Source organism: Homo sapiens, chromosome 16, assembly GCF_000001405.40.
Source record: "Homo sapiens chromosome 16, GRCh38.p14 Primary Assembly".
Lineage (NCBI taxonomy): Eukaryota > Metazoa > Chordata > Mammalia > Primates > Hominidae > Homo > Homo sapiens.
This window is the reverse complement of record NC_000016.10, coordinates 77,874,241-77,896,096: the sequence shown is the minus strand read 5'-3', so window position 1 is coordinate 77,896,096 and position 21,856 is coordinate 77,874,241. Positions and strand designations below refer to the sequence as shown.

General features: G+C 44.0%; 1 protein-coding gene and 1 pseudogene across 1 annotated transcript in view, besides 2 other annotated features; both read right to left on the bottom strand.

Moving 5' to 3' along the window:
* Positions 1 to 21,856, bottom strand: part of VAT1L (vesicle amine transport 1 like) — a 191,544-nt gene that overhangs the window by 84,011 nt on the left and 85,677 nt on the right. The window contains exons 5-7 of the mRNA NM_020927.3: positions 19,624 to 19,727; positions 16,873 to 16,928; positions 11,295 to 11,489 (exon numbers count right to left, since the gene is read on the bottom strand). Coding sequence (NP_065978.1) covers positions 11,295 to 11,489; positions 16,873 to 16,928; positions 19,624 to 19,727 — 355 coding nt within the window. The remainder of the gene's footprint in view (positions 1 to 11,294; positions 11,490 to 16,872; positions 16,929 to 19,623; positions 19,728 to 21,856) is intronic.
* Positions 1,317 to 1,817: an enhancer, noted in NCBI's record as "H3K27ac hESC enhancer chr16:77928177-77928677 (GRCh37/hg19 assembly coordinates)". NCBI's record gives its function as "activates a minimal SCP1, AML or CMV promoter by ChIP-STARR-seq in naive H9 embryonic stem cells {active_cell/tissue: H9 hESC(naive)}" and the evidence as "EXISTENCE:reporter gene assay evidence [ECO:0000049][PMID:30033119]".
* PPIAP50 (peptidylprolyl isomerase A pseudogene 50) lies at positions 3,182 to 3,675 on the bottom strand (annotated as a pseudogene).
* Positions 17,577 to 18,776: an enhancer, noted in NCBI's record as "P300/CBP strongly-dependent group 1 enhancer chr16:77911218-77912417 (GRCh37/hg19 assembly coordinates)". NCBI's record gives its function as "activates an origin of replication core promoter dependent on BRD2, BRD4, P300/CBP, MED14 and CDK7 cofactors, with strong dependence on P300/CBP, by STARR-seq in HCT116 cells {active_cell/tissue: HCT116}" and the evidence as "EXISTENCE:reporter gene assay evidence [ECO:0000049][PMID:35650434]".

Here is a 21,856-nt window from a genome sequence, read left to right as displayed (position 1 = left end):
TCCTATCCCGTTTCCTCTCCCCTCCATTCGAGGTCAGCCTCCCCATCACTCTGTGCTCAGCCTGATGAACCTTTCTTCTGTCCTTGAATGTGCCAACCTCCATCTTTCTCTCCAACTTCCAGGCCTTTGCCCAGGCTGTGGCACAGGCCTGGGTCTCAGCCCTGCCCAGCTCTCTTCCTCCAGGCTTCGTTCCCTGCTTATATAATTGTCTGACTGTTCACTTCCACCATCCTGGCTGCCCCTAAGCATAGGCCCAGGCTTTCTCACTTGCAACTGTGTTTGCAAAGCCTGGCCCGGTGCTTGGCGCGCAGCAGGCAGGCACTCTGTAAGCATTTGTTGAGTGGCATTAGTGGTATGTATTAGTTTCCAGTTGTTGCTACAATAAATTAACTCAAATTTACATAAAACTACAAAAATTTATTCTCTTACAGTTCTGCAAATCAGAAGCCTGAAATTGTCTCTTTAGGGCTAACATCAAGGTGTCAACAGGGCTGGCTCCTTAATTTTTGTGCCTTTTCTGGCTTCTACAGGCTCTTCCCATTCCCAGTATCACATCACCCTTCTTCCTCTGCTTCTGCCATCGCATCTGCTCCTCTGACTCCAACCCTCCTGCCTCTCTCTTACATAGGCCCTTGTGATTGTATTGGATCCATCTGCATGATCCAGGGTATTCTCCTTGTCTCAGAGTCTTTCATTTAGTCACACCTGCAAGGTCCCTTTTGCCATATGAGGTAACATGTTCAAATATTCTAGGGATTAGGATGTGGACATCTTTAGGGGGCCATTCTTCAGCCTGTCACAGATGGATACACTGAGGCAGAGCTGTGCCTTAATTTCTTTGGTCCATTGGGCAGCTCAGAGCAGAGCTGGGTGCAAGGGCATGGCAGGGCCTGGGGGCGTGATAGTGCTGGTAAGTTTGAGCTGCAGAAAACACATGAGGCCAGCTGGGAGAATGTGCGTAGAAATCGGAAATGTGTGAGTGTGTGTGTGTGTGTGGGCAAGTGGCTGGGGTGATCACGTTGAACTGAAAAATTTAAAATTCCACTTAAGGGAAAGAAGTCACACAGGAAGGAAAAAATGAAGTGTAGGGACCTACAGCAAACACAGCAATTGCTTCTGGAGCCCAATTTTGCTCATCTGAAAACTGGGAGAATGGACAAGGTGGGATGGTTTTCTGAGGCCACACAGCTAGGATATTAATAAGGATTGAGGCCAGGGATCCAGAGATTCTAAGGCTGTGCCTCTTCCCCATCTCCCAAGTTCTCCTGATCCCAGCATTAAACAGCCCTTCAATCTCTCCCTTTCTCATGTGTAATATACGTGTATACTAGCATATCTATCTTAGCATATATATGATATCTCTATATCGGCTTTATATATAATTCATATGCTATACAATTCACCCACTTAAAATGTATGATTCCATTTTTTTAGCATATTCAGAGTTGTGAAATTATCACTACCATTAATTTTAGAACATTTTTATCTCTCCAAAAAGAAATGCCATGCCCCATCAGCAGTTCCTCTCCATTCTCTCCAAGTCCCCCAGACCTAGGCAACCACGAATTGGCTTTCTAAATAGCCCTCCTGTGACCTCTGTTCCTCCTGGCTGGGTTCCGGGCGTTTGTCCTGTTCAGTGCCAGGTGGGAGGCTTGTGCTGGCTGTTGGCCTGTCCTCCCTGCACCTTCCCTTCACCAACCTCTGCATTCAGACTTCTGCCCCCATCTTTCTACTGACACTGCTTTCTGAAAGGTCAACAATGAGCCTGGGCCAAACCCAAAGGCTGTTTCTCTATGGACTTCCTGGCTTGTCAGCAGCAGCTGACACTAATGACCTGTCAGATGGCCGTGGTGGTTCCTTTACTGCTGCCTTTCTGTGGATGCCTCATCCTCTGCCCAAGGACGAAGGATTCACAGACATGCAGGAATAAAGCGGGGGTTGTAGGGTTCTGGTCTTTCCCAACATAGTGGAGACGCTAATGTCCATAGCATGGACTCGAGAGCCAAACTGCCTAGGTCTGAAAGCTGGTTTTGCCATGCATTGGCCGTGTGACCTTGGGCAACGTATTCCTCTCTGTATGCCTTCATTCCCTCATTTGTATCATAATGTGAGTAACAATTATCACCACTAGGGGTAATCATGAGGATTTAATGAGTTAATAAATGCAAGGTACTTGGCACATATAAACATGCTATGCTAAGCATTTCCTAGTAGCATTATTTTGCTCATTCTTCAATGAGTTTATTCATTATACCTTTCCAAAAACTTCTATACATCAGACTTTCCTGGGGTTCAAATTTCCATCAAATTCAATGGTAAGCAGGGACTATGGGCAAGTATAATCTCTCTAGAGCCTCATTTTTGCGATCTGTAAGATGGGGATAATAATACCTGGATACTATTGTGATGTTGGGAAGTTTAGATCAGTTAATACATAAAGCACTTAGAACAATGCCTAGTACTTAGCGAATCCTCTAGAAATATTGTACTGTAGTAGCAGCAGTAGTAATAGTAGTAGCAGTCGTAGTAGTAATTATTCAGCCTTCTCTCACCTGAATGTGGTTGAGGATTTGACTTGTCTGTGGACAGCTCCACTTTCATGGCCTACTATGACTTTAAACCAAACTCACATCTAAGCTCATCAACTTTTTCACACCAGTGTCTATCCCTGCTAACTAAAATGCCATTGCTGGCTTCCCTGTTCCTGACCTCCCAGCTTAAAAGACCCTTGGTCATTGCTGACTCTTGCTTCCCCTTTGTCCTTTATTTCTGATTTCCTTTCTGTCAATGGCTGAGATGGGTTTATTCTCTGCCATCCCACACCCCCACTTTGGTTGGTGGCTTACCTATATTCATGCCCCCAAAATTGCCACAGCCTCCCAGCCAGACCAGCTGCCACCAGTTCACCCTCCAAACCACTATGTACATGACACAACACACACAGCCTGCTTTTGGGAGAGGCTTTTTTTGTTGTTGTTATTTAGTTTTTATTTCATAATCATAAACTTCACTCTGCAATCCAGCCAGGCATGGAAGGGAACAAGGAAAACATGGAACCCAAAGGGAACTGCAGCGAGCGCACAAAGATGATAGGATACTGCGAGCAAATGGGATGGAGGGTACCCTCCTGAGCTACAGATAGAATGGTCTGGAGGTTAAGATAAAACACAAGTCAAACTTATTAGATTTGTCCACAGTCAGCAATGGTGACCTTCTTGCTGGTCTTGCCATTCCTGGACCCAAAGCACTCCATGGCCTCCACAATATTCATGCCTTCTTTCACCTTGTCAAAGACCACATGCTTGCCATCCAACCCCTCAGTCTTGGCAGTACAGATGAAAAACTAGAAACCATTTGTGCTGGGTCCAGTATTTGCCATGGAACAGATGCCAGGACCTATATGCTTTAGGATGAAGTTCTCATCATCTAATTTCTCTCCATAGATGGAGTTGCCACCAGTGCCATTATGGAGTGTGAAGTCACCACCTTGACACATAAACCCTGGAATAATTCTGTGAAAGCATGAACCCTTATAACCAAATCCTTCCTCTCCAGGGCTTAGAGCACGAAATTTTTCTGCTGTCTTTGGAAACTTGTCTGCAAACAGCTCAAAGGAGACACAAGGGCCCACCATCAACCGCACTGTCAACCCCAACATAGTGGGATTGACCATGGTGCAGCAGCAGTGTCTGCAGAGCCAGGAGATGCTTTTAAATCCTTGCCCCACACTGTGCTCAGTGCCTCAGAAGGAGCTCCTAAATCTTTAAAGAGGGTCCATGCCAGCTAGTTGAAATCTGCCATAGTGAAGTTGGACTTTCCACAATTTCTCCTTGAGTCTTTGCCTCCTAGTTTGGGGTGCAGTATCTGTTTTGGATGCTTGGCCTCAGTCATCCTCTCTGTCCCCTTCCCAGTCTGGTGCTAGAGTTGAAGTTTCTTCAGAACTGACAATCACATTACTCCACAGCCTTGACTCGGGCCATTCCACCTTCTCTGTCCTTGGTGTCCCACATTCATCTCTTTTCTTTGAGACGGAGTCTTGTTCTGTCACCCAGGCTGGAGTGCAGTGGCGGGATCTCAGCTCACTGCAACCTCCGCCTCCCGGGTTCAAGTGATTCTCCTGCCTCAGCCCCCCGAGTAGCTGGGACTACAGGTATGTGCCACCATGCCGGGCTAATTTTTTGTATTCTTAGTAGAGACAGGGTTTCACTGTGTGAGCCAGGGTGGTCTCGATCTCCTGACCTGGTGATCCACCCACCTCGCCCTCCCAAAGTGCTGGGATTATAGGCATGAGCCACCGCGCCCGGCCTAATCTTTTTATCAAGTTACCCTCTTGTCCTGGGACAGATAAAGGTCCCTGTCAAGCTCAGCATCACATTTTCTTCCTTCATTTATTCTTTCAGGCCAGTCTATCTCTGTACAGGTTTAGTGACAGCTTAGAATGAAAAACACAAATCTAATTAAACCATAGTCATTAACATGGAGGTAAAAATGCAGAAGACTCAGCGAGACTGAGGACACTTACATCCAATAAATGACTGCATTTGGACAGCGACCTTCACTACAGCCAAAGTGAGGAAGACAAAGTTTTTCCTACCTCCCCAAAAAAGGATGATACCGTCTCATAGACCAGCTTCAACAGAACTTTCTGCAACGATGGAACAGTTCTATAGCTGTGCTGCACTGGGCACTTGAAATGTGCATAGGTGGCATGAGGAACTGAATTTTTTTGTTTGTTTGTTTTTTTAGACGGAGTCTTGCTCTGTCGCCCAGGCTGAAGTGCAGTGGCGCGATCTCGGCTCACTGCAAGCTCCACCTCCTGGGTTCATGCCATTCTACTGCCTCAGCCTCCCGAGTAGCTGGGACTACAAGCGCCTGCCATCACGCCCGGCTAATGTTTTGTACTTTTAGTAGTGACGGGGTTTCACCGTGTTAGCCAGGATTGTCTGGATCTCCTCACCTCGTGATCCGCCCGCCTCGGCCTCCCAAAGTGCTGGGATTACAGGCATGAGCCACCACGCCCGGCCGAGAAGCTGAATTTTTAATTTGACCTAATTTAAATTAGCTTAAATTTAAATAGCCATATGTGACCAGTGGTACCGTACTGGAGAGTGTAGCCATAGACTTTTATATAAATCATGTAAAATAGTAAAGATAATGTCTTTTTTTTTTTTTTTCGACAGGGTCTTCCTCTGTCACCCAGGCTGGAGTGCAGTGGTACGATCTCAGCTCACTGCAACCTCCACCCCCAAGACTCAAGTCATCCTCCCACCTCAGCCTCCTGAGTACCTGGGACCACAGGTGTGTACCACCACGCCTGGCTAATATTTTGTAGTTTTAGTAGAGATGGGGTATCACCATGTTGCTCAGGCTGGTCTTGAACTCCTGGGCTCAAGCAATCTGCCCACCTTGGCCTCCCAAAGTGCTGGGATAACAGGTGTGAGCCACCACGCCTGGCCCAGATCAGGTCTTCAATGAACATTTAAAAAATTGTTGAGATCTCTGTGCAGCCCTCTGTGTACTATGAAGTGGCAGATGGGGGAAAGCAATTTTAATCAGAGACCACAGCTGTATCTAAGTGTGAATCTTTACAGTGATCATACTTGGGGCCAGAGTGGGCCTCAGGGAAAGGAGAAGATGAAATGGTGTCATGCTTCTTAGGCCCCATACTCTCCAACAGCAATCCCCCTACCCAGGATGTAAGCTCAAACTCCTCTGCCTGGCAGCAAAGGGGACCATGATTTGACTCCATTGACCAAACAAATCTTACTTCCTCTCCTCTACAGCCAGCAACTTCTGCTTTGTTTAGCCCAGACTTTTCTCTCTACCCCACCCACTCCATACTCACTCCCACTTCTGTGATGTTGTTCATGCTGTGCCTCCTGCTTGTCATATCTATTTCTGGTAACTCCAGTGTCATCCAAATCATTCCTATCCTTTCCTATCCTTCCCATACCAAGCAAGCCCCACCTCATCTGTAAAATCCATCTCTCAACATTCTCTCTCTTTTTGTGAAATGGTGTCTTGCTCTGTTGCCCAGGCTGGAGTGCAGTGGCACAATCTTGGCACACTACAACCTCCACCTCCCGGGTTCAAGCGATTCTCCTGCCTCAGCCTCCCAAGTAGCTGGGACTATAGGCGTTGCCACCATGCCTGGCTAATTTTTTGTATTTTTAGTAGAGATGGGGCTTCACCCTGTTGGCCGGGCTGGTCTCGAACTCCCGACCTCAAGTGAACTGCTTGCCTCAGCCTCCCAAAGTGCTGGGATTACAGGCATAAGCCACTGCGCCTGGCTAACATTCACTCTTAACATTGTTCTCTCTTGTTTTCAAAGCCAGTTGCAGTTGAAATTAATACTCTGTTATTGCATACTAAGTTATTGTCTAATTGTTTTATAGATTTTATTTTTGTCTCAGACATTAAATTATAAACTCAAGGGCAGGAAACACGTTGTCTATGACTACTGTAGATTTTATATTCTAAAATAGGATTGTCATATAGCACATAGTAGGTGCTCAGCAATGTTACTGCTGCTTGGTTGACAAATGCAAGTATTAACATGTTGTCTAGGACTTCTGTAGACTCAATATCCTAAAAGAGGATTAGCACACAGCACACAGTAGGCTCTCAACACTGTTACTGCTGCTTGGTTGAAAAATGCAAGTATTTTTTATTTCTTTTCCATCTCTAAACTGTTTGGTGAGACTAACTTTCTTCCAACTTAACGTACAGCTGCACATTTAGTATCTGGAAGCAAACCCGAGGCTGCAGTAGACCCACTCTGCTTTGTGAATTAAATTTACAATAAAGTCAAAGACAGATGGCTAAGAGGAAACTTTAATCGTCTCTGATATTATTAAATCTTCTAGTCTGAGGCTCAGAGAGCCCAATAAAATTTTCTTTGAATCCCTGTGGGCTTTATATTCCATAGATGAAGTTATAGAGCTGGATTGAGAAGCAATTTTGTGCAATCATTTACCAAACGGGAGGGGAAAAATCATTACAGTCCTTCAGAGGTTTGCAAGTAATAAGCATGTTACACTCTCCTCAAGCCCAGAAGAGCTGCGTGGGCTTGATAAACAGCCACGTTTGGTCCGACTGCAGCTCCAAACAGATGTCTGTAGATATTGCAGAAAGCCGGCAGAAAGTCGGTGGGTGTTCTTGATGAGTGGCTGTGGGTGCTGTTGTTGGCAAACAGGCTACAGCTGTCTCTCTCCTTTCTATGGAGGACTATCTTGCTACAGGAACGTAGAATTCCTTTATCTGGCTGGTGACTGTCTTTGCCATCGTGGCTTCTTTTAAAAGCAGTGGTTCTCAAGTAGGAGTGGTTTTGCCCCTACCCTTGTCCCACCCAGGAGACATTTGACAATGTCTGGGGACATTTTCTATTGCCACCGCTGGCGGTACGGGAGTAGAGGCCAGAGATGCTGCTCACCATTCTACAGTGCGCAGGGCAGTCCCTCCCTACCCAGCAAAAAAATTATTCAGCCCAAAATCTCAATCATGCCCAGGCTGAGAAACCCTGTCTTTTATTTATGTATTTACTTATTTTGAGAAACCTTGTCTTAACATAATCTTTTAAAATTATACCTTGTTCAGTCATTCATTCATCTATTCATTAATTCACTCAATCAACACATATTTATTGTTAAACATAGAAAATGTCCAACTAGTCCTCTTTCTCTGTATTGGTGGATTGTTCCATTCACACAGTAAGTATGTACTGAGCACCTATTCCATGCCAGGCACTGGGGTCTGGAATAATATAGTCTAGGTCTTCCCTCATGTAGGGTTTAAATTCTAGTGGAAGGGAGGCAACAGTCTAAGCAAGCTGAGAAATAAAAGAACAGGATCATTTCAACTGACAGTAAATGCAATGGAGAGTATCAAATGGAGTAAAGGGAGACAGAATGGCCTGGTCTGCAGTGGCTGTGCAAGGTGCTACTTTCAAGAGTGGGGCTGGGGAAGGCTTCTCTGTACAGGTCATACTGAGGCTGAGACCTGAAGGAAGCAGACTGTCAAAAATTGGGAAAAGGAGTGTTCAAAATAGAAGGAGCAACATGTTTGAAGGCTCAAGACAGGGAAGGCCTGGGTGGGCTCAAGGACCAGAAACATGAATGCTGCTGAAGCTTGGGTGGAGGAGGTGAGGGTAATGGATGGGCAGGAGTCACACAGTGCAGGGCCTTACAGACCTCAATGAGGAATTTAGACTGTATTTCAGGTATAGCAGGAAGCCATGGAAGGATTTTAAGCAAGGTTGGACATGATTTGGTTTAGGTATTGCTTGAGTCCACCCAGCTTAGACGACAGTGCTAAGAATAAAGATGGAAGAAGTATGTTCAAGGTAAAGTCCCAGACCTGCCTGCATATGATGCATGACTCAGTCAAGCACGCTGCCAGCCTTGGCTTTCTCATCTCTCATTAGTGCTGGTCCTGAGTACCTTTGCTCTGTATCCTTAGTGGACTCAGTCTTTGAGCCAGTGCTGACAACCCCAGCACACATGAAGCACCATTTCCCCCAGCACTGAGGGTTGGAGATGAGTCTTGCTGCCTCACGTGTACCATCTGTGCCTGGCCAGACCCTCCTTAATGCTAGCTGAGCTTCTCCATTGGGAGGCTTCCTGGTCTGTAGTTAGCATGCTTTTCCTATTCCTTAGCTGGAATGAGATCTTCCTTGAATATCAGACTTCTGTAGTTGCCTAGTTGCCCAGGATCCTGCCTGGCAATTTCAGCTTCTGTCCTGATGGATAACACCCTTGGGACCAGGATGTGGTACCTCCTGACTCTGAACCTATAGCAGCCCCCTGCTGCTTAGAGTAAAACCCAAATTTCCATCCAGCCCTTGTTAACCTACTCAGACTCTCCTTGTACCATTCCCTCCTTGGCTCACAATAATGCCCCTTTGGGATTTACCAAAATCTTTTGTTCTTCACCCCTTTGTTTTTAGGGATCTCCTTGTGTTGAATTCTCTCCCTTTAGTTTCTTGCCTCTTTCATGTTCCAGCTCCAATGATACCTATTGAGAGAAACCTTCCCTCTTTAAAGTTTCTCTACAGCATGCATTCTCAATAAGCATGATATCACCCCAGTGGGATGAACACTGGCTCTTGGAAGATAAAATAAAGTTACTCTTTTAACATATAAAATACAGATATACACACAGGACATAAACACACATGTATGTGTACATACACACACATATATGGTAGTAAAACTTCATGAGTTTATTAGGCAAAATAATATCTAAAAAGTCTCTTTAGAGGAGCAACAATGAAAAATAAGTTAAGCAACATTGCTCTGTGGAAACTAAGTCTCCCCCCTCCACTCACCAACGTATATCCAAATTTATCTCTTTCTAAGAACTTATTACGACAGGCAGCTACCTTGCTTATTATTGTTTACTTCAGTATTTTCTATCTCCTCCTACTCCTCTGAATGAAAACTCCATGAAGTCATGGGATCTTGTCCATTTGTTCATCATTGTAGCTCCAGCATTTGCCCAGTACTGGGCACATAGTTGTTGTTCAGTAAATGTTTGGTGATTCAATTACCATTGTAACCAAGGGGTGATTTCAAATACTAGAACAAGAACCCACTGGGCCAAGTGGACTCCTCTTGGATTTCAATTCTCACTTAAATGTTACCAGATTTGTTGGGTCCTTTTGGGCACTGAGTTCAAGTGTAAGTCACCTTCTCTGGCCCATGGACAAGTATATCTCTTAGCTTTTTTCTTGATGATTCCGTTTTCTCTCCTTCCTGACCATTGAGAACCCAGTAACCAGGTAGCCCAGCCCTTTCCCTGTTCCAATGAGATATGATAGTGAATACCATATGGGTGTCTGACTCACTGAATTAAAAACATTTAAAGAAAATTATAGCAATAGGCTAGCTGTATTGGCAATTACACAGCAGAAGGCATGCACAATTATCTGATACGATTTAGCACTAAATTGAATCACGGTGAGCATCTGCAATAGAAAAAAGACTGGAAGGAAGCAAACCGAAATGTTAACAATGTTATCCTTCTCTGGAATGTGGACTTGCAGTTTATTTTCTCCTTATGTTTTTGGTTAATTTAGGAATTTCTGTAATGAGTATTTATTTTGTCATAAGAAACAAGGTTTTTGGTGGCTAAAGGTTTTAAGCCCATCCATGACACTGCAGTATTAGAGAGAGATATAGGCACATTCCTGCTCCATTGATCTAGGACCAGTTGTATTTGAATATACAGTGACCCCCAAAGAGCCTTTCTAGTGGTATTTCTGTGCTTAGAGAAGCCATTGGATTTGGGCCAATGTAATCGTTCAGGCAAACAGACACAGCCTTCTTGCCAGAAGCACACCCACTAGAACTTTCGTACTTGTTATTTTTTTAAAAAGTATTTGTGACTTGCAAAAGTACAACAAAGTACTTGTACCATAAGGCACTTCCCTCATGCAAAATGCAAAACAATGAAAAAAAAAACATTCCCACATATTTTAAAATATTTTTCAGGGGCGTCATGGCTCCCTGAAGCCAAGGCTAAGAAATCTTGACTTAGGTTTCTTAGCGAAATGCCTCTTAAAATCCAGGCCACATCTCTTCATTTCTTCTACAAGGAGCTGCCATTAACTGACTCCCCAAATGCCCAAACCTTCCCCTTACTTGAAGGATTTTCTAGACCCTGCCTTCTCCTAGCAAGGGCCATGTGAACCAATACAACCAGTTCATGCTTCAGTATCCTTCGAGGCTCCATTAGGGGTTCTTAATGTTCTTGTGATCAAGGAATGCTTCCAAATACTATAACTTTTGGAAGATCAACTAACAAAAAGACTCAATCCAACTTTAGACCCAACAATTCAGCAGTAATTCCAAAGTCCATCGTGATAGCTAATGTCTCATCGGGGCTCAAGGCATCCAGCGGAGCACACAAATCATTTTAGCTCAGATCACTGTCTGCTCTGACACTGATCTCTTATGTACTCACAAGGTGACAATATGTATGATGCCTCAACAATGTACACATGCTCTTGTAACCACACCGAATTGTAGACATTGATCAAAATTTGGTGGCCTTACCTGGGAAGGGTTCAGAGCACAAATGGTGTGATGAGGCACGTGGTTTGCAAATCACCAAAGAGCTTAAAGTATTTCTTATATCCAAAGTACTATTCTGTGGTACAGGTGACTTTTAGGACCCTCATTTAAAACAAACCCATCTGGGAAAAAAATCATTTAGTAGAAGATTGTATTTGGCTGCCCAAACCTTCCTGAGTTAAAAAGAGGAGTTTATTTGCAGAAGAAAAGCACCATTCTTACCTCCTCCAGAGCCCACAAGGAGTCCACCACAGGCTTGATCTTCTTCTGGTTGTAGAGCCCTATGAGTTTTTCCACCACTCCCCGAATGAGGCCCGCCCGGCCTTGTTTGAAGAGCAGATTTAAAAGGGAAAACCCCGCGATGACTTTGTTCTCCTCATACAGCTTGATGGGGTTCACCTTCTCCACCTGCCACCACTGCAAAGAGAGGTGGTATTGGGTTATAGGAACTCAATACCGGGGTTAAGCCTACATTGGCAGCATTGCTGATGTCATCAGCTACTACAGGGGGAACGTGGGGCTGCAGCTCAGCAGATTCCAGCTGGCCAAGGGGTTGCTCTTGGTGGTGTATTTTTTTATTTTATTTTTTATTTTTATTTTTTGAGATGGAGTCTCACTCTGTAGCCCAGGCTGGAGTGCAGTGGCATGATCTCAGCTTACTGCAACGTCTGCCTCCCGGGTTCAAGTAATTCTCTGCCCCAGCCTCCCGAGTAGCTGGGATTACAGGCGCCCACGACCATGCCCAGCTAATTTTTGTATTTTTAGTAGGGATGGGGTTTCACCATCTTGGCCAGGCTGGTCTTGAACTCCTGACCTCGTGATCCACCCGCCTTGGACAGTGGTGTATTTTTTTTAAAAGCATCTATTTTTCTAGGCACTGTTGCAAGTGCATGGGAAGCAATAGACATTGATGCTTATGAGACGCTCAGGTCTAAGTGGGAGAGAGAGCCCAAAACTAACTACATGGCCACATGTAGTTGAAATATTAAGTACATGGTCAGGATCATCAGCTCCGGACTTGAATCGTGGCTCTACAACGTTCTCTGTGATTAAGTATAAAGCACTTGGCTCAGTGAATGGTGGTGGTGATGATGGGGTTGTTAAAGGAACTAGGATGGCAGAAAAGTTTACACAATGTGGTGGGGAACATGATGGAGGTGGCCACTCTGACTGCAGAAGCAGCTTTCCTGGGGGAGTGGTTTTGATAAGGCTAAATCTGGGGAGGCGGGTAGGGATCCATCGGATGAAGAGGGAGGAGGGATGATTTAGGAAGAAGTAACAGCATGAAGAAATGATGAGGCCAAATTGTTGGGACTGAATCAATGGTTCTGAACTGGGGGTAGTTTTGTCCCCCAGAAGGCATTTGATATTGTTTGGGGATTTTTGTTTGTTTGTGATGACTGAAGCGGGAGGTGGTGCTACTGGCGTCTAGTGGGTGGAAGCCAGGGATGCAGCTAAACATCCCACAGTGCTCAGGACAAAGAATATTCACAGCAAAGAATAATCCACAACAAAGAATTACCCAGCCCCAAATATCCATAGCATTAAAGCCGAGATGCCCTGGACTAAAGTTCTGGGTGAAATACCTACAAACTATTTAATGTGGCCATCTCTTTTCCAGTCTGTCATCTCCTCCCTTCATATCAAAATAAGTAAATAATCCACTGGAAACCTAGAGAAATGGGGATCCAACTGCTTTGTTATGATTTAATTGCTTTTCCTTTGGTGCTGGTTATAGGTTAGAAATCCAAGCGTCCAGTTTCTGGGGGATTCTAGGGGATAAGATGTTCAAAATCATTTCAATACAGGATGCAAAGAGGAATGTGATGGGCATTTAGAAACATTGATAGCCTTTATGTTATCATTGAGCTCATTTATATCCTGTTTTCGAAAAGAATTAAGGAGACTGACTAAAGTGAAAATTTTTTATTTTTTTTAATTGGGAAGCTCGTGTCACTAGGAGAATAAGCATGGAAAAGGCAGGTTGAAAACAATGATGAGGTTCATATACAAAATTATTTACAAAAGCACATTCGGAGAGGGCCGGGGGACCAATAAGAGCCACGCATTTGACCTTAGGTTTCTTGGCTTTCAGTTTTGATGGTCTTACCTGGCAAGGGTTTGTGGCACAGATGGTGTGGTGAGGCATGTGGTTTGGAAATCACTAAATAACTTAACGTATTCCTTACATCCAAAATTCTATTCTATGGGACAGTGATTTTTAGGACCCTCATTTAAAACAAACCAACTTGGGAAATACAGCAAATATAGAAAAATAATAACTTGATTCACAGTGTATCTGCAATGCCTCAGTGAATGTTTGTGGAATGAATGCTTGCTGCAAATGTACAGTTGTGGTTAAGAAGGTTATAGAGCTGAATGCCTAGTTTTGAATCTCAGCTTTGTCACTTACTAGCTGTGTGACTTTAGGCAAATCTCTTAACTTCTCTGTGCTCAATTTCCTCACTGTTCCTCATGGGGTGGTTATGAGGAGTAAATGTGTTAATGCATATCAAGTGCTTAGCACAGTGTCTGCCACGCATGAGGTGCTCTATAAACATACACCACTTTTATTATCTTAATTTGAACAAGATGTTTTTGGTTTAGTGAATAAGAGCTCCAAATTTGGAGTCAGATTGCTCTGTAAATGTTAACTTCTTCTATTAGTATCATCATCGTTATGGTGTGAAAGAAAATAGCATGTTTGACAAATAGTGAGGCACAAACTGCAGCGATTTTAAGATGCAACATCATTAAGATAGCTGAGTGGGAAATTCCTGTATAATTCCAGTCGACCTTTAATTTCTAAGCCCTTCTTGAATACATTGAAAAATTTTTTTTCTAGGACTTTTCAGAGCAAAGTTCCACCTCTTCGTAGGCCCTCTCTTCAGTTTTCTTCCAAATGACCCTCAGTGTTTGAGCAGGCCTCTGAAAGAAAACATCCTCATTCTTGACCTCCAGGTACAAAGCGTTCTGGAAATAGGAACCCCTGCTTTGGGCAGAGGAATCTCCATCCCCATCCTGGCTGTGCATTTATGAATGCCTTCATTGAGCATGGGCACGCTGCAATTATTTCATTAACACTGTGTGTTGGGATTGTGCATTTAGAGGAGAAAGGGAAAACACTTCTTACAATTGTATGTAATTTGGGACCAGTGTGGTTACCCACAGCAGTCTGTCAACATCATGTTAATTACAGCCACAGCAACAGAGCAGCTGTGCATGGCACAAAGCCTGTCTTCAGGGGACACACTCCAGACAGCATCCTTCATTACACTCCATTCTTGCTCCTCCTGTCGGTTCTGTAGTTAGGATGATCCTTGACCCATATTTTAAAGCCCAAATGCAAAGAGAAGACCTTTGATTTGAATCTCACAAATGCAGGGAGTATTATCCATTCCAGAATGTTTGGGGCTGATGTTTCTGGAAGCTGATGTTGGCACTTTGAGGGCATATGAATAGCACATAGTGCCATACTTAGAATGAATTCCAAACTCCTTACCATACTTTTCACTGACCACTTTGTTTTAATTGCCTCCACCCACCCTGCTATTTTCTATTTTAGCACTTGATTTTTATCCTCTTCAGAGGTTTAATAGCCATTTATAATCATGTTAATTAACATATCTTGCTTATTTTGGGTTTGTCTCCCTCATTAGTATATAAGAACCAAAAAGGCCCAAAGTGCACCTATCTTATGTGCTGTAATAGCCCAGTGCTTGGCACAATACCACAAACAGCAGGTGCTCAGAAAATGCCTGTCAAATGAGTGGATCAATTGACGCTGCACTGGCACATAGAAGTCCAAAAGTAGAGGGGGCAAAAATAAACCCTTGTGAAAAGCAGCAATCCCCTGTTGGGGAGGGGTAAAAATAAAAGTTCCTACCATTTGACCCAGCAGTCTCATTACTGGGTATATATCCAAAAGAAAGTAAATCGTTCTATCAAAAGGACACATGCACCCGTATGTTCATTGCCATTCTATTCACAATAGCAAACACATGGAATCAACCTAGGTGCCCATCAATGGTGGACTGGATAAATAAAATGTGAGACGTATACACCATGGAATACTATGCAGTCATAAAAAAGAATGGAATCATGTCCTTTGCAGCAACGTGGATGCAGCTGGAGCTCATTTTCCTAATCAAATTAATGCAGAAACATAAAAACAAATACTGCATGTTCTCTCCTAAGTGGGAGCTGGGTACTCATGGACATAAATATGGGAACAGTTAACACTGCAGACCACTAAAGGGGACTGGGAGGGGGGCAGGGGTTGAAAAACTATTGGGTACTATGCTCACTATGTGAATGAGAGGATCATTTGTACCCCAAACTTCAGCATCATACAATACCCGGGCAAAAAACCTGCACAGGTACCTCCTGAATCTAAAAAGTTGAAATTACTAAAAAAAAAAAAAAAAAAAAAATACCCTGGAACGTGCGAAGAAAAAAAAAAAGCAACATGGGCTGGTGCTGGTGTACTGGTGGTTCATTTCAAAGAAGAGAAGGAATTTGGGCTGGGGAAGGGGTGTTGAAATGATATTTAAAAAACTAAGTTTGGCCGAGTACGATGGCTCACACCTATAATTCCAGCACTTTGGGAGGCTGAGGCAAGCGGATTGCTTGAGCCCGGGAATTCAAAACCAGCCTGGGTAACAGGGTGAAACCTTGTCTCTACCAAAATAAATACATAAATTCGCTGGGTATAGTGGCACACACCTGTAATCCCAGCTACTTGGGAGGCTGAAGCAGGAGGGTTGCTACAGCCCAGGAGGTGGAGGTTGCAGTGAGCCGAGACCATGCCACGGCACTCCAACCTGGGTGACAGAGCTAGACTCGGTCTCAAAAAAGTTCAAGCCAACATCAGTATAATTCTAGCAAGTATAGCTCCAGATAGGAAGATAGATCAGAGTCAATTTGTAGTGAGGTGAATGCCCAGGGATGTCGCTTTGCAATGGCCGACAAACTAACCACCATATTGAAAGCATGATCACCCAAGAGAGTGGTTCATGAGCTTGTCTGAGTCTACAAGTCACCTCAGGATCTTGTTAAGGTCATAGGGTCCTCATTTCTATCTCCGATTCAAGAGGATGGGGAGACAGAGAAATCTCAAGTACCCCCAGAGACCTGGTCAGAAAGTAGCAAAGTGAAAGGCTGGCCGCTCTATGGAGCAAAGAAAATGCACTAATGCTAAGTTCATTTTTGACCAATAATTAAAGACACCAACACTTAAGCAATTTTGACTGAAATAAAGCTGTAGCTTTCTTGAGTTTCTCTGACACTCCCACCTCTCTGTTTCATTTAGACAAAAGTAGTCTAAATTCTGGTCCTGACCATTTGCAGGGAATAGGGCAGGAGTGCAGGTTTTATGGGAAATGAACGAGGAAATTGAAAGACAAGATTAAGTCAATGCCTTATGATAGAAGAGCTCACAGCTGGGTGCGGTGGCTCACGCCTGTAATCCCAGCACTTTGGGAGGCTGAGGCGGGCAGATCACGAGGTCAGATTGAGACCATCCTGGCCAACACGGTGAAACCCCGTCTCTACTACAAATACAAAAATTAGCTGGGTATGGTGGCGCATGCCTGTAATCCCAGCTACTAGGGAGGCTGAGGCAGGAGAATCGCTTGAACCAGGGAGTCGGAGGTTGCCATGAGCCGAGATCGTGCCATTGCACTCCAGCCTGGTGACAGAACGAGACGCTGTCTCAAAACAAACAAACAAACAAAAACAAAGCTCTCAACATGTGAATCAACATGCCACCACAGTACATCAGATGTGCCTGGATACTTACTGATTTTGCAAAGCTGAAGAAGCTCTTGGTCTCTCCAGTTACCATGTTGGATGAGCCTGAAAATGAAAGATTCCCACATTAAGCAATTGCTAATGAAAATGGACATCTCTTGTTATGCATGAAAAAAATGGCAATTGTTTGGTCCGGAACTGGAGAAATCTTGAAAACAAATTTAATTAAGCCTTGGCAAAGTGAGGGGAATGAGAATGAGGCATAAAGTTGACTATGTTAGCTGACTGTCCCTGATCAAAGAGAAAGTGACATTTCTCATGATGACCGTCTTATTACTTTGCAAAATTTGGCATATAGCAAAAATATGATGTAGGCCAACGTTTGAATAAAATGATGAGTTGCTGAAATGTCTTTTTAGGTCTGTTCTTTGAGGCTGAGAAAGGAACTCCTTAGTGAATCTACTTTGTGATTCTGAATTTGATTCCCCAGCAAGTGAGGGGCTTGGGGCTCTGACCTGGACTGGGTACCTAAATGGTGGGAGAGGTGGAGCAGAGTTAAAATATAGATGGATTGGAAAAAATGGGTATAGAAGCTCACAGGTGAGAATGAAAAGGGGCCCAGGGACCAAAGAAATGGTGTGATCCATGTGTCAGCTCCAAAGAGGTCTGAGACAAGCATATGAGAAACTGAGTTTTGCCAATTGGACAAGCAGTATTCAGAGGGCAGATGGGAGGTGGAGTTGGGAAAGATTCCCTAAGATTCTCATACGGAGAGTAAAGACCCTTTATAAGGTTTCGGGGCAGGGGAGGGGGGAATGAGAGAGCTCTTAACAGTATGGGGAACATTCAAATACCATACAGGTGCTTTTTCAACAACTTTCCTGCCTTGTCTTCAAAGATTTTGGAGTAATTTCTTCTCAGAGAGGAGTTATTTAATAAAATAGTCATGTGTATTTTACACTATTTAGCCTGGGTAAACTAGTAGCCAGTTAATAAGTTGGTGCAAAAGTAACTGTGGTTTTTGCCATTACTTTTAATGCCGAAGACTGCAATTACCCTTACACCAGCATAATAGTGAACCATTGCTTCTGTTTTTATGGGGTGAGTACCACGGGGCATCCCAGTACTAGACTTTGATTAATTAGTGACCAAGTGATCAACGTAATGAAGTAGATAATTGTGAACTACTCACATGGGATTAATCAAGTTGAATTTCACCAAAATGACATCAAGAAACTGGGACAAAAATAGAATTATTGGTAAATGATAAGTAAGGATGACTACATCGTCCATCTGCATTTGACTCACATGTTAGTCATATCCGATATCCTTGCAACGTGCAGGGACTCTCACTGATAATAATAAACCACACGTCCACTTCAAAGGAAATACATGGCTATGATTGAAATTACTGGAACATTCCAGCAATGGGATGTTTACCTGCCTCTGGTGAGTTCAGCCTTCTTTCTGTTACAATGGTCTGAAGATGACAAAAAAATGCTTGCATATTTATACCTCTCAAATATCTATTTTATAAGCTCTTCAGGAAATAGCAGGGAAATAAGTGTTTTTTTCTGAGTTAGCCAGAATTAAAACTCAGTTTTCTATTGTACCTACAGGGGACAAGGTACCAAGAATCTTAAACATTGGATAAACCCAATATTATTTTGCTTCAGATTATGCCATCTAGCTTCAAATACTCCTATTTTAGTTTGTGGAGACTAATGTGGTTTTTTTTTTTTTTTTTTTTTTTTTTTTTTTGAGACAGAGTCCCGCTCTGTCGCCCAGGCTAGAGTGCACTGGCGCGGTCTCGGCTCACTGCCAGCTCCGCCTCCCGGGTTCATGCCATTCTCCTGCTGCCTCAGCCTCCCGAGTAGCTGGGACTACAGGCGCCCGCCACCATGCCTGGCTAATTTTTTGTATTTTTAGTAGAGACGGGGTTTCACCATGTTAGCCAGGATGGTCTCGATCTCCTGACCTCATGATCCGCCCGCCTCGGCCTCCCAAAGTGCTGGGATTACAGGCGTGAGCCACTGCGCCCGGCCTGTGGAGACTAATGTTTAAATTGGTTTGCATGCCTATGACAGAAAAGAAGAAAAAGAAGAGAGAAAGGAGGCCCTGGAGCCTCATTTTGCTGGAGAAAATCTTCTTCCAGTTGTTTTGCATACATCTCTTCCACTCCTAAGACATAGAAGTGAATGTAGAAAGAGATGGAAACAGACATGAGTTCCATCTATCCAGGGCTTCTGTCTTAAGAGTGGGACGCTCAGGAGGAGTTTAGGAGAAGAAGAACAGACATGTGTTCCATCTATTCAGGGCTTCTGTCTTGCGTGGGATGCTCAGGAGTAGTTTAGGGGAAGCAGAGTGTGTACTTTGCAACTTCTCAAATAGTAAAGATCCTCCCTTAAAACATGCATATCCTAGCCACTCTTCCCCATCCTACTGTGGGTCCTTCATGCCTTCTTTATTTCTGAACTTCCTTTGAAGTCATTCATATTTTCCACCTGTGCTACCTTCTGTGGGTGATGTCCCTTAGTGGTTCTAGTCATATCAATGACCACATTGGCTTGGTCTTGCTTTATCCCATTTGAAATAATAGGATATAGGACAGTAGGCACATGTTATTTTAAAATTGAAAATAACTCACAGTAATAGAAACATTATAGGAAACATTAAAAAATGAAACACCCCCATCCCACTACCCCAACATATCAGCACAATTCACTTTTCAGAGCCTTTGCAGGCACATATGTAGAGGTACCTATTGCTGACCACGTCCCTGCTGCTGTTTTGCACTCACCATATAAAATGTAGGTTCCCAGGGGTTTGAGAAGACTGAGACCTTTTCCAGTGTTGTCCCCACAGAGGCAATCCAAAACGATGTCCACACCTTCAGCAGAGATTCTAAATGGTGAGAAGGCAAAGCAAAATTCTGTGACCTGTCAGGAGCCAGACTGTCAATCCCTTTCCTTTCCTGTGTCATATTGTCTGACTCTCAGAATTAGGAACCCTGAAAGCTCCAGGAGTAGCAATAAATAGGGCAGAAGCCCAGGAGGTGGATATGTCTTCCCAGATCCAGTGATAAAAATTTCACAAAACTGGAGGCAGCTAAGAGTCTGGGTGGTAGCTGCCACTGGGAACCAGCCTGGGCCAGAGGAATGAACTTGGGGTCAGTGGGTCTGAGTTTGTGTCTAGCTCCTTTACTCAAATTCTCTAGCTTCAGCTTTATCCTTCGTAAAGTGGAGCTAGTATGTTTCTTTGTGGTAAGAATGAAATGACGCAACAAAAGGGGAGGCTCAGGCAACTCCTATGTGTAGAGCAAGGGTTAGTTGCCTGGTTCTGTTCAAGGTGCTGGAGATAGAGTGAACCAAACCAGTGTTCTCCCTGTCTTCATGGGGCTGCTTCTCTAGCAGGGCCTGGCCTTCCTCCCTCCTAACCTCCCTTTACAGTGAAAACATAAAGCACGTTAGTCTAACTCATAAGCTTCTCTTTCTCCAATGTCTAGGTCCAACCTAAAACTGACTCTGAGAGGAAGAGGGTTAAATAGAGATGAACTTCCTCCAGCAATGGGAGGTTGTGGAGTAGAAAGAAGCCACATTTGTACTGCATTAGACAAAGCATTTGTTGATCTCTTCTATTCATTTCTTTATACATTCATTGATTCACTCACTCACTCACTAATGCATGTAAGCAACTTTTACTGGGCTCCCACTCTTAGAACATATACAGGAGGGGGCTGTAGAACAGGAAGACTCTGGAGATTGTGGGGAAGATATTCATGCCCACAGAGATCCCTATTCTGGCAGATCCCTGCTCTGTTCAGACAAGAATGGCATTCCTTGTGTTTGCAAGTTTGCAGGATTAACTTGTCTTAGCAAATATCTCAATTTTTCTACCCCCAAGTTCACCCTAGCAAAATTTAGGCATTGCAGCATGTGTTAACAGCTGGGTCCTGTGTCCACAGTTTCACTAACTAGGAAACTGCATGTACATCTCCTGGGTGCAGAGACTAAGTCAGCTTCCCTATGCAGCTGAGTCTTTATGTGACTATGCCCTTCAAAAGCCCTCATGTCATGTCCAAAATCCAGCCCACTACCAAGGCTCATCCAAAATGATCAGCTTAGCTTCCTGCCTAATAGAGCTCTTATCTGCACAGGGGTGTCCTCTTAAGTCTCACCTGAAAGTTCAAAACAAAGTAATTAGGACAGTGGATCTCAAACCTAAGTGTGCACTGTAATAACCTGCAGGGTTTACTAAAACAAAGATTGCAATCCTTCCTTTCTTTGATCCTGTAGGTCTGTGGTGGGGATTTGCATTTCTAACGTTTCCAGGTGCTGCTGCCACTGCTAATTCCAGCTCCACGCTCTGAGAATTACTGATCTAAGCCAGTTACTTAGGAGCCAGACTGGCTTTTTTTTTTTTTTTTTTTTTTTTACAAATTAATTTGTTCATTAAATATTCAGCAGTGGGCACTGCACTAGGCACTGGAGGATGTAGTATATTGCTTTCTCCTCTTTTTGGAGCGTATAAGAGGCAGATATTCACCAATAATTACACAAATAAATGTTAAGTTGAAATGTGGTCTCATGCCACTAAGGGGCTCTAGAATTGTGTAAATGGAGAATTTTCCCAATCAGGGCTATCAGAGAGGCATCCCTGGGGAAGGGAAGGAGTTAAATAGGTAAAGAGTGAAGGGAATAGTGTCCTAGGCAGAGGGAACAGCATGTGCAAAGGCCCTGTGGTTGAGGAAGACTGGGAAGCAGCCAGTGTGGCTGGAGTATGAAAACAAAGGGGTGTTTGCTTCGGGTTGGGCTGGAGAGGCAGGTGGGAGTTGGACCTCATGGACTCTTGGTTGGTGAGCTTCAGGTTGGTGGTCAGGTCTTCACCTTGCATTATGGGGTGGGTAATTGTGCTCCTGTCTCCCTCACTTCTGCCCGGGTCTGTTTTCTGCTAAGTTTGCTCACTCTTGCGAGAGTGGGGTCCTGGTCTGCTTTTACCAGCCCACCCTCCTGAGCCATCAAGTCATCTCAGTG